The sequence below is a fragment of the Homo sapiens genome, chromosome 21 (genome assembly GCF_000001405.40).
Source record: "Homo sapiens chromosome 21, GRCh38.p14 Primary Assembly".
Lineage (NCBI taxonomy): Eukaryota > Metazoa > Chordata > Mammalia > Primates > Hominidae > Homo > Homo sapiens.
The window spans coordinates 27,251,328-27,263,824 of record NC_000021.9 but is presented as its reverse complement, the minus strand read 5'-3'; the positions used below and the strand labels follow the sequence as shown (position 1 = coordinate 27,263,824).

Below are 12,497 nucleotides of genomic sequence, written 5' to 3'. Positions count from 1 at the left end.
GTGGCCAAAGGGTCGTCATAGTATTGCTTTCAAATATTTATCTTGAAATATCCATGTCATTAGGGACAATTCCAATACTTGCTCTTCTAGTGCTATTAGAAACAACAGTCATGAGTTGCTATTTTCTTGCTTACAGATCACTTTCTAGTTGTCTCTGATGGCCTCACAAATCACACCTCTGATGCTGCCTTATATAAATGGAGGTGGTATTTTTCTACTACCTACTACCTCCTAGAATGTGTAGTGTTGGCCAGAAGATTCTTTGTATGTTCTGAGAATTTTCTAGTTTTACCTCTGAAAGTAGTGTAGGCATGTATGTGTGTGTGCATGCACATGTGTGTACGTGTGCATAGCACATGGTTGAATGTATGTTGACAGGAAAGATAGGTGTGGCCAAGCCATTTCTGTGCTCAGCAAAGCAAAGAAATAGAGCTTTCCTACACCCTGAAGAATGCCCACCCTCCTGCTGAACTGATTTACCTAGATATGAGCTATGAAAACATTTGATAAATGAATTTACAAGATATGAGTAATGATTGCCCTAACCTAACCTCAGAAGCAACATCTCATCACCTTTACTATTTCCTGTTCATTGTAAATGAGTCTGAGTCTAGTCCATACTCAAGGGTATGGACGCCTGACTCCCAGTAGCAGAATCACCAAGAGCCCTCTCAGAAGGTGCCTATAGTATATATTACCATCTACTTACTCACCAACTCTGTCTCCGCAGACTCAGGAGACTCCCTTGATGCCTTTCCTTTTAAAGCCCAAAAAGGCCAATTCAAAGCCATTCCTCCCTAAAAGGGAAAAGAGTCAACTGACCTGACAGAGTGAACACAAACTAAATCCCATTCCAGTGGTCCCTTTAAGGCAGTATGAGGACCATTAAGTGTTTATCAAGAGAGCTTTACAGGCCAGTTGCAGTTTCTGTAACATGTGGCTATTTATTGATTAAATCAACAAATTAACTAACTGAAACTGGCTATCTGTTGATTGACTTATTGATTTAATCAATAAATAGCCACATGCTACAAAACCAGTGACATGACCGGAAAAAAAAAATCACTAAACTCTCACCAAACGTAATTGAAAAATCAAATTGTTTACTTGAACCCTACAGAGACAATAAAGGTAAAGTACATATTCTGGTGAAGGTTGGTAGAATGTCTTCTTCTTTGATATCTTTCCTTTTAATTTCTAGTCCCCATTTACCCTTGCAATCAAAATAATCTTTCTGTGGGGCTGACACCACATGCAATGGGGTGACTTCAGAGAAATCAATCATAATACGTGGTAGTTTATGTTTAGGCTTCAGAATCTCACCAAGGTTAATACATTCAACATGAATGCATGTTCCCCTGGCCCAGAGGCCCTGATCTGACCCCAGCTACATTTCCCACCCCACCTGCTGTTATGCTTTCCTGCCTCTTTACCATCAACACTTCCTATCACTTTATCTGTCATTGCCTTCATGATAATTTGCTTATCTTTTAACGTGTGGCCACCTCTGCTGCAATGGAAGCCACTTGAAAATCTTCACCAATTTTGTCACCATTGTATGTTTAGCTCCTAGATAAGTATTTAGAACATAACATATGTTCAGTAAATACACGTGTAAAGTGTTTATAAATTAATGAATGAATCTGTCTATCAATCAAAATAATCCTCTGTTAACATATCTATTATCCATCACTCATGGAATCCGAAAGCAGTAGATGTTGCTTAGGTAATAAACATGGCTATGTTTTTAAAAAAGAAAAAAGTTTAATACACAAAAATTTGGCATTCTAATAGTATATTTTGAGTATAGGCAACTGAAATTAATTTCAGTCTTAAGCAACTACTATTCTAAATGTTGTCTTAGGGTTTTCACATCTTTTCAAGATAGAAACAGAGCATAGTGAATAGGACTTGTACATAGAATTCTCTAATCCCTGGCTTCTTGAGTCATCTGAAATAACTTTTAACAGGCTTGTGGTTTGGGCTTTGTTTTCTTCTGTTTTGCTTTCATGTCACACACTGAAAACTTTAAAAACACAAAAACAATTTGGCTAGGAGTCGAATAATTAAACGACTGGATTAGCATTTTAGAGCTAATTTAAATTAACAGGGAAAGCAATTTTTACCCAATTTGTGTTAATCCAATGTAAAAAAAAGTATTCTATCTAAATAAAATACTTTACAATAAGTTAAGTTCTACATCCTGCTGATCAACTAAAAATGTTTATTAATCAATAAAATGCTACTGCTAAATTAGTAAATAGTCTAAAAGCTGTCTACTTCACAGAAAACCTTAATCAAATGTGGAAATATGATATGCATAATTTTACTTCTAAGATATATATGAAAGTAGTTCCATTATAATTTAAACTTGAAAACTGCCTCTCAAAACATGAATTTTTGAATTCGTTATGAATTTTTTTTCATATATGCACTTTATTTCTTGTCTCAAAAAATAGGAACATTTGCCATAAAAAAGATACCTTCAATGTAAACCTAAATTATTGAGGTAAGATATACAAAATGTGTTAATTATCTAGAGTCAATATAGCTTTTAATTTTTTTTTTTCCTGAAGAATACCTGGAGATCAGGACTGTTCTATTTTCTACCTTCGTGCTTTCCTTAAACACCACCAGCTTCGGTACCCTGCGCATTTTTAACCTTCCTCTTTAATATCCCAAGTTTCTTTCTTTATCTTCTAAACTGGGTACATTTTCAAAACACACTGGTAAGAAAACTTACATCTAATTAACTGTTATTGCCCTTAGAAAGGAATTTAAGAATGATCCATTTAAACTTGTCATTTTAATGGATAAGTTAGAAGCTCAAGTTAAATTAAATACATTAAAGCATTAGAATCATACCATTTTTGTGGGGTTTTTTTGTTTTATTTATTTATTTATTTATTTATTTATTTATTTATTTATTTTTGGTTTCATGAGGCTACCACAAACTAGCTGGCGTAAAACAACAGAAATTTATTCTTTCAGAACTGTGGAGATGAAGAGTCTGAAATTAAGATAACGTCAGGGACCTGCTTCCTCTGGGGGTTCTAGGAAAACCTCTTACAGTTTCTGCTGGTTGTTGACATTCCTGGACTTGTAGACTAGTCTAAGCTCTGATTCTGTCTTCACATAACCTTCTCCTCTGTGTGTGTCTTTTCTATATGTCTCTTTAAGGACATTTGTCATTAGATTTAGGGTCCACCCAGATCATGCACCTTAAATCTCCTCATATCCAAATCTTTAATTTGATTACCTCTGTGAAACCTCCTCTTCCAAATGAGGCAGCATTCACAGGTTCCAGGCATTAGGATGTGGACTTACCTTTTTCAGGGCCACCATTCAACTCCTAACGGTCTAGATGGGAAATTGAGGGTAGTAACAGTAGTAATAGTATTCATATGCATCTCTGCAGTGCTGTGTCATCCTCAGGGTACTTTCATTTGAATCCTCTCATTTTATAACTTCTCATAGTACCTTCATTTTACAATAAAACAACTGAAGCTAGAAGAATTAACTCAAAGATCTCACAAAGCTAATTAACGGCAAAGCAAGATTACCAAAAAGTCACTATAACACTTTTTCAAGTTTTTATTTGTGTTTAACTAAAAGAAAATAAACTTATTTTTGCAGAAAATATATTTTTTTCATATCAGCACATGGGGATCTCTTAGAAGAGTTTTCTCATAGCATTTTGGCAACAGCTACTGTTTCAAAAATCTTGGATTTGGTTTAGAAGCAATAAGTCACACTATTCATCCAGATTAGTAATAACAGTCAATGGATAAGAAGCTTGTACTATTTGTCAGGCATGATATTTTACGTTGATTACCTCATTTAAGTGCAGTATATATGGCATTTAAAACCTGGCTCAGCTATCTGACAACCCTGAGTTAGAATTCAGTTGCAGCATTTACTCATAGGTGGCCCTTTGACAAGTCAGTCCAACTATCTAATCCTAATTTTCCTGATCTCAGAATTGGGAGTAACACTAGACGTGCCCCAACTGGGTTGTCCTGAGACAGAAGAAAAATGATTCATGCAGCCTTTCAAAACGTGTAGATCTTCCTTAGTGTGTCCTCCACTGGTTATATCTGGAGTGTATGTTCTTTTGGGCAGAAGACACTGTATTTAACACAATTGCCTAATTCAGAACTAGAGATTTTCTCCATTTCTAACATTTTGGGAAAGTGTCTTTGTATATAGAGAGGGAAATATTTGTGTGTATGCCTAATAGTTCAATATTTGCTCATCCTCTATGTTCATTTCCTCCCCCGTTTCCATCTTTACATTTCCACGTAACATTCTTTTTTTAACAAGACCATACAAAAAAAAAAAAAACAATTTTGGAAAATGTTCTTTAGAACCAAAGAGTAGCCAACAATGCTAATGTTAGGGCATGGCAAAGGAGTTGATCACCCTAGAATTAATGCTTCTTCCAAATCGAGAGTAGCCAGACATGAAAAACACTTCCCTGAAAATCTCCTGCTTCAACTCAATACGCCAAGCGCTGCGAAAAGTCAAAGCTCTGCTAACACTTCCCACCATGGACAAAAACTGCCAAGACCCAGTCTCGACAGCTTTGCTGAGTGTGCAATTTGTCATGAAGTTATTGTCTCTTGGAAGGAACCTTAACTACAGATCCTGAGTACTAAGACTCTGTACTCTGTAGTGTCTAAATCAAAAACATATTTTAATTGGTTCTCTTTTGTTGAACACATCGCAAGCACATATTTGACAATTTTCAGTAGATTTGCATGTTTTGCTACTAACATATTTTGAAAACTGGAAGAAATGTAAAAAACAACTCATGATAAGGGCAGAGTGCATAGCTGTGAGGAAGTCTCCCAGCGGACCAAGTGAAGATCAGCGTAAGAGCTTCATTTTACAGAACATCTCTATTCATGGCTTTGAAAGGAGAACAAACAGCTCACTAATTATCCTCATCGGGGACATGATACAAATACTACTGGGGAAGATGATATAAACAGGATATAAGTGTTAAAGCCCGGATGAAAAATAGAGTAAAATGGACCAAAATATGTAAGCTAATAAATCTAGAGAAAAAAATGTAACTTCAATATGTGTGAAAAAACAAGGGTCTGGCAAATGAAGGAAAGAAAACCACTGATATTAACATTAGGTGATTGTGTGACTACTTAAAAGGAAAAGAGAGTATTCAGATGGTTTTAAATCGGAACTAAAAGTAATGGGATAAAATCGTGGAAGGAAAATTTGGTTAGACTGTCAGAAAAACATTCCTAGCATCAAAATCTATTAAAGCATGGAATAATTTCCCCAGCTAATTTAAGTCCCTTCGTTTGATTATTTTAAAATTAGGCTAGACAAACCACTGGGAAATGGCTAGGCCAGAGTTTAATTCATCCTGAATTGGCAGGGAAAGGCATTCAAGATGATCTAATAAGTTGATCCTAAACTTATATGAAACATGACTAACCATTTGTTTTGTTCACATCCCCATTTGCCTCCCAGAAACTGAAACTGGCACATATAAATCTGTAATGCATTCAGTGTGTTAAATGCCATTTTACACATTGAATGCATTAAATGTATGCTCCAGGAAAAAGCAATTTGTCTGGCACTGAGGATACCGATATTCTCATCTTCTCATGGGAAAGACAACTAAATAATAACAGGTGTAGTAAAGGAAAACTAGAATTCCCTCCTAACAACACCACCAGTACCATTGCTCTTGAGTCAAGTCCAAACACTATAATAGTTACCATGGTGTTGCATTAGCTAAAGCACATACATTACAAGCTTCTCCCTCCACTCTTCCTCCAACATTCACTATAGCCAATCTCATCTCCTTCCAGCTCATCGAGTACTCTATGCCCTCTGATCACTCACACTGCTAACTCTATTTGGAGTAAATGTCATTCCTTTATACAGTTTTTACCAGTCCCACTGTTGACATAGTCATGACTTCTTATGGAGAGTTAAGGCAAACCCACAGGTATAAATGAGGCACCAGGCTCATATATTCCCACAACACCATGCTCTGATCAAAACATTTACCCATATTATATTTTATTATCCATCAACTTGTCTCTATCACTCTCTAAATGGTAGTTTATGAGAACATATATCACTATTCTTTCATCTACTATTTAATCAACATCTAGGTTAGTGTCTAACATACAAGAGTTTTGAAGGCATTTCTTGAACGTATGTACATAAACCACCAATTGCAGCAATAATGTCTTGGAAGAGAAAAACTCCCTAAAAACTAGTGGCTTACAACAATCACTTGTTCAAGTTCGTGTGCTTGCAGGTCAGCTGGAAGCTGGCTGATTAAGGAGCTGAATTTGGCTACCCTTGGAATCAAGCTGAAGACTGGGGCTGTATTACATGTGTCTCTAATCTTCCTTGGATCAACGGATTTGCCAAGGCATATTCTTCTAATTACGATGGCAGAAATGCAAGAGGGGTATGCATAAATGGGCAATGCTGTTAAAAGTCTAGATTTGGAACTGCCACAGTCATTTTTACTCGTATGACAGTGACCAAAGAAAATCACATGGCAAAATTCAGCGTCAATGGGGCGGGGAAATATACTCCACTACTAGTGAGAGGAAATATAAAGTCACATGGCAAAGAGAATGATATTGGGAAGAATGAAGGATTAGAAATGACAATCAAATATCCCATAATACAAATAATGTGGTAAAATTACAGTGCTACAGAAGCCATAGGAAAGAGCAATGTTTCTCATTAAACCATGCTGCTGCTCAAATGGAATAGAATAAATATCTTGGCAAATTGTGGATTACCATTATGAGCCCCAGAGTCAGTCTAGTTAAAACTTCGGTTGAATAACAGCTTCTTCTTCTTTAATATACTAGAGTGCTTGCCCAGTAAGAAAATAAATATCGTCTGATGTATTCCATCAAGAATACTCAAGAGGTTTAATATCTTCATATATTAAATGGCTAAAGAGTGAAGAGTTATCTGTCTCTGTCATGCAAGGTAGCTTTAAATGATTAACAAAGTGATAAAATCCATTACGAATCGTTTCTCTATTTGAGTTCTTTTGTGATACAAAACTCAGCTGTCATTTAAATTACACCTTTCCAGAGACCAGGGGACATCTCAGAGTTTGTATTTATATTATCAAGAAAAATAGAAAAAGGAAGGAATTTAGCTAATTTGTTAAGTTGAACCGCTAATCACCAAATTGAATATCTTTAATGTGGATATGCAATAGGGTAATAACTTGAATGTGTAATGTGGTTGTCAATAAGATGATTCTGGGACTTTATCAAAAAGTGTCATCAATTTAGTTTGCCCTAGAAAACACTGAGATTGCTTTCAAGGTCACTCTGTAGAAGAGACTAGACAAGAATATGGTTTAATAAAAAGATTGCTGTTTTTCACTGGTTTTATCCTGGAGTAAACTTACCTTTTTTCAGTTAGAGTTGCCAGAGTAGCATATAGGTTAATTGCACGGCAATTGGAGACAGAAACCTGTGATCATCTTCCACTTACTAAGTGTTTGGCCTAAGTCAAGTTATTCAACTTCTCTAAGCCTGAGAGTATAACAGCCCAATCTACCTCTTAACATTGTGAGGATTCAATAGTAACAATGAGAGTAGAGAGGAAAACTTATGTCAGCTTCATACAAATGAAATGCTAGATTGATTGAGTTTATATATAATTCTGAACCATTAACTTCAGAATATGTATTCTGGTCAAGTATACATGGGACAGTATACAACTTCACTGCTTATGGTGCCATTAAGGAAATTAAAGATATGAAAATAAAGAGGTAATCTGTTACTCTTCTTAGATAACATTACTCTATGTATAGAAAACCCTTTAAAATGATCATAAATGTTAAAATTAATGAGTTTATCAAATTTTCTAGATACAACATTAATATACCAAAGTCAAATCTGTCTCTATATTCCAGGATTAATGTGTATGAGTAAAAATTTAAAATTTCATAACATAAAAATATAAAGAGCATATTATTATGTATGATGGGGGAAGGTGTGCAAGCATAATATAAATATAGAATATGTTTAGACATAGATACAAATGCACGTAAACAGATTAATACAGATAGATGTCAATATTTTTCCACATGGATGAACAATTGTCCCACACCATTTAATGACAAGCTCACCATTTCCTCTATGATATAAACTGCCTCTGGTTTTACAAATTAAAATATTCTTATATGCAATAATTTATTTCTGGAGTCTCTATTCTGTTCTTTTTCCATATTACTAATCCCTGCCCATTTATTTGGTATATTAAACTTCCTGAATTTATTCTTCCCCATACCATACATGAAAATAAGCTCTTTTATATAGAAGGAAAAACTTTTAGCGGAAATTATTTTTAAAATCACTGTGCAACATAAGAAAGGAAAGCATTTTTAGACAAGAGCCAAAAAGTATACATAAAGTAAAAGACTGATCAATTCAACTACATCCATTTTATACAAAAGTACTGTAAAAAATGAAAAGGGAAAGAAATTATTTGCACCACTTACAACTAATAATACATAAAGAATACAAAAAGAATAATGAATATATAATAACACTAATAGACCAAACAGGAAAATGACAAATAATCTGAGATAAAATAGCAAAGAATGCCTTCAGCAGAGAAAGAAAGGCATTTAACAAAGAAAGAAAGGAAATTGACCCAGAAACATATAAAAAGACGATCAAACTCATTTATAAGGTAGTAGAAATTAATATCACAATGAGTTAGGATTTCATACCTATTAAACATTAAATATCCTGCCAATGCAAGTATGTGTGACAATGTGGAGCTCCCAGTATAAGTATATACTGCTAATGAAAGTGTAAATTGATACAATCATTTGGAGAACAGTTTAATACTATTAAGTTGAAGAAACACATACCCTCTGTGGCAAAGACAGTAGCATTCACCAGATATTCATCTGATAGGCCACATTTCCTGCTAGATTTTACTTACTGAGCGGTGAGCAAAAGAAACATTAGTCACAAAAATGCACAACCCATGGGTCTATCTTGTCCCTGGAGGACCCATGGTAAATCTGGGTCTGTGTCTATGTGGATATAAGCGCCACTCCTTTCCTGTAGCAGAGGTTACATGAGTGTTGAGATGTAAAAGTTACTACAGTGAGGACTCCAATATGTTTGGGTGATTGTTTTACCACCACTTGTGTAACTTATCCGGCCTAAAATATGCTAAGCCTCCTAATTCCACTCTTCAATATACCTTAAAGCAGCCAAATATATCACAGAGCAATGTGTTGAAACCAAAGGTTACAACTTAGTGTCGGCTCAAGATTTCCAGTGGCTCAAGACCAGCATGGTTGTTGTTGTTGTTTTTGTTCATTTGTTTGTTTGTTTTAATTAAATAGAACTAAGTAGAATAGAGTAGGTAGAATAGAAATTTTAATGGTATATTTTATATTATTTTGGTTTTAGTTTTACAAACACATACATAACTCATTCCTATACACTATACAATATGTTTAGATAGGGTTGTTGAATAAAATGCATTTTATAGTCAAAAGTATAAAATCCAATGTCCTAGAGAATCTATATCTGTGAATCAGAAAACATGTATAGGAATATTCACAATAACACTGTTCTTAAAAGAAAAATCTTGGAAAGAAACCCAAATTCATCCACAATGGAGTAAACAAATATCTTGATGTATATGCATGGAATGGAATATAATCCAGGCCTGAAAACTTAATAAAGTACACACAAGATAACATAAATGAATCCCAGGATCATAATGCTTAAACAAAAGATCAAATCACAGGATAATGCAGACAAAATCCTACCTGTATAAAGTACAAGGCTTTGAAAACTAAATATCATTTGGCTTAGGGAATCTAACATACGTGATAAAAGCAAAACAAAGGAAAAAAGAAGGATGAACACATTATTTAGAATTGTATTTACCTCTGAATGAAGGAGAAAGAGTGTGGGCTAGGGCAGGAGCCCACACAGGGTTTCAAAATTAGTGGCGATAAATTTTGTTACATTATTTTTCTCTGTAAGCAATTGCTACTTAGTTCCTGTAATTCATGAAAGAACATAAATATTTTGAATCTTAATTTTGAAATTAACTAGCTATATAACATTGTCGTAAATTTTCTAAAATAACTAGCATATGCTACATTTTAGTAAATAAAAGTTGTTGTAGTGATTTATTTGAAAGTAGAAATTGACCCAGATTTTGCCCAAACATTTTAAAAAATTTTATCTCTTCCCATCAGTTAAGCAGGTTGGGAATGCTCACATGGCATTGTATCTGGAAAAGTTGTCATGACAAAAAATGAGAAGAAAGGAAGAAATATCAATCTTATATATTTCTTGAAAGAAAAAAGATACGATATGATAGATTTTATAGAACTATAAATAAGGTCTTCTGATTTATAAAATTGTATATATTAAATAGCAAATACAAAAAGAGTACTCAGGTAAATTTGCCATAGTATTAAACTCTACATCAAAAAACCTGCTATAGTCTAATAAATATTGGTTCTTTTGAATAAAGCAGAATTAATTATTGTGGAAATCAGTATTTCTGAATTTAAACTTACGTAGTTTTCTACAACTCACAAAGATTTCTCTGACGATTTTCAGAACTGAGTTTTGTTTCAGCCCGGTAGAATTTGCTATTTGTCAACCGGAATTTATTATTGGCAGCTTCCTGATCAAATTTCGCTGCGCAGCAGAGAACAACATTTGAAGTGTAACATATTAATACATTTATCTTTTCTAAAATGTAAGACTACTTTTTCATAATGAGGTAGGGGCAGGGAAACGTCATATCCTTTTCTATCCTTGTTTTGATGACCACATTCTTTACATGTCACATAAAATTCAAACCATATAGCACCAGATTTTGGTGACATTATCAAAATATTGTCAGTCTACCCATTATTGCTTTTATTATCAACTTTATAAGCAACCCTTCCACACTCAGTATTCACATATAGATTGATATCTGAACAAATAAAACTGCCTAGATGTCACAAATGATTTGGTGATTTATATTCAAAAGACAAATGTCTCCGCTATTGAAAATTGCTTTTACTAGCAGTGCTTTGTATTTTGGGATATACAAAGATTGCCAAAAGTGCGATATTTCTAAATTTTACATACTGAATCCCATTATAAGGATTATTGTCCATTCTCCAAAAGTACATGGGTACCATTTTTTTGTGGTTGGTGGTGTTTAAAAGGGTTAACATCATGAGTATCTCATACTATCTATATAGCAAATGAAGAACAAACCCAGTGGAAGTATATCAGTGGATGTGAATTGGTGTTCTAGTTCTAGAGAACTGAATACATTTCTTAGAAAATTCAAGATAATAGCAAAAATGTCCAGGTATAGAGAAAGACATTTATAACAGGTATGGATTTTGTTTTTCCTTTTAGAGGTTGATTGTTCAGTACAACCTTTTGTGGGATTTTTTGAGTGCTGTATTTGGAAACAATGAAAATTAAATTCGCCTGATAAATATTGCAAACTGGTTTTGGGCAAAATTTGAAAAGCTATTTGTGGCTGTAGGTAGAGGTGGGAAAGATGAGGAATAAATGAATAAACTTAATGAAGTAAAGTTTCAGCATTATTTCATTAATGTACCTTTTCCATTTTCCTAAAAATCTTTTGGCTTTTTGTCTCACATGATTTTTATATTTTACAGAAGGCTAGAATCTTTCTCCAATAAGCTTCTCTGACTATCAAGCGTTTCTTGCCTCCATACTCCCTAGAGAGCTTCTCTTATCAGCAGGAGCGACATATCAATTCTTGTTCTAGAAAGAAAGGAATTTTAATTTGTCTTGCTTTTAAAGGCATGGTATTAAAGTAGACATTTAATGTAATTACAGTAATATTACCTCTTTTAAAGTAAAAATGAAACAGATGCATTAAAAGTAACTAATGTTTAGTCCTGAGATGAAACCATCTTTGCTTCCAATTGTAGGAGTATTGTAAATACACCATGCTTAGCTGAGATGAGAGTACTCTTGGGACATTACTAAGTATTCCATGTCTGTACTATAAACAAAAAAAACTAATTGATGAAAAGCCTACTTCAGGGATGAGTGAGGAGGAAACTACTTAGGAGGGGAAAAAAAAGAGAATGTGCTAATTTGACAAGAAATTATAAGAAGACGCTGAGAGTATCTTGAGATGAGAGGCCAAAGGAAAGGTGGATTAGACCAGACACATAGAAGAGTTGAAAGACGCGCCCCTGTAGAAAAATAGAAACAATAATAAGAGTTGCAGTCAAGAAATCGGATCATGAGATATCTTTGAAAGAGTTCAAACTGCTTTGGAGGGTAAAGCTTGTTATGAATCTCTACCTCCAAACTGTCAGTGTTCCTCGAGGTTCAGTCTCTATTTGCTTGCTGTACTCTGAATCTACCTGGAAAATTAAAACCACTTTAAGGGTTTACCAGAGTAAGATTAGGTTTATTCTAGATACTCCCTAATCCACGTCC

General features: G+C 34.3%; 1 long non-coding RNA gene across 1 annotated transcript in view; it reads left to right on the top strand.

Moving 5' to 3' along the window:
• Nucleotides 1–12,497, top strand: part of LOC102724355 (uncharacterized) — a 177,651-nt gene that overhangs the window by 87,521 nt on the left and 77,633 nt on the right. The gene's annotated exons all lie outside the window — the stretch shown is intronic.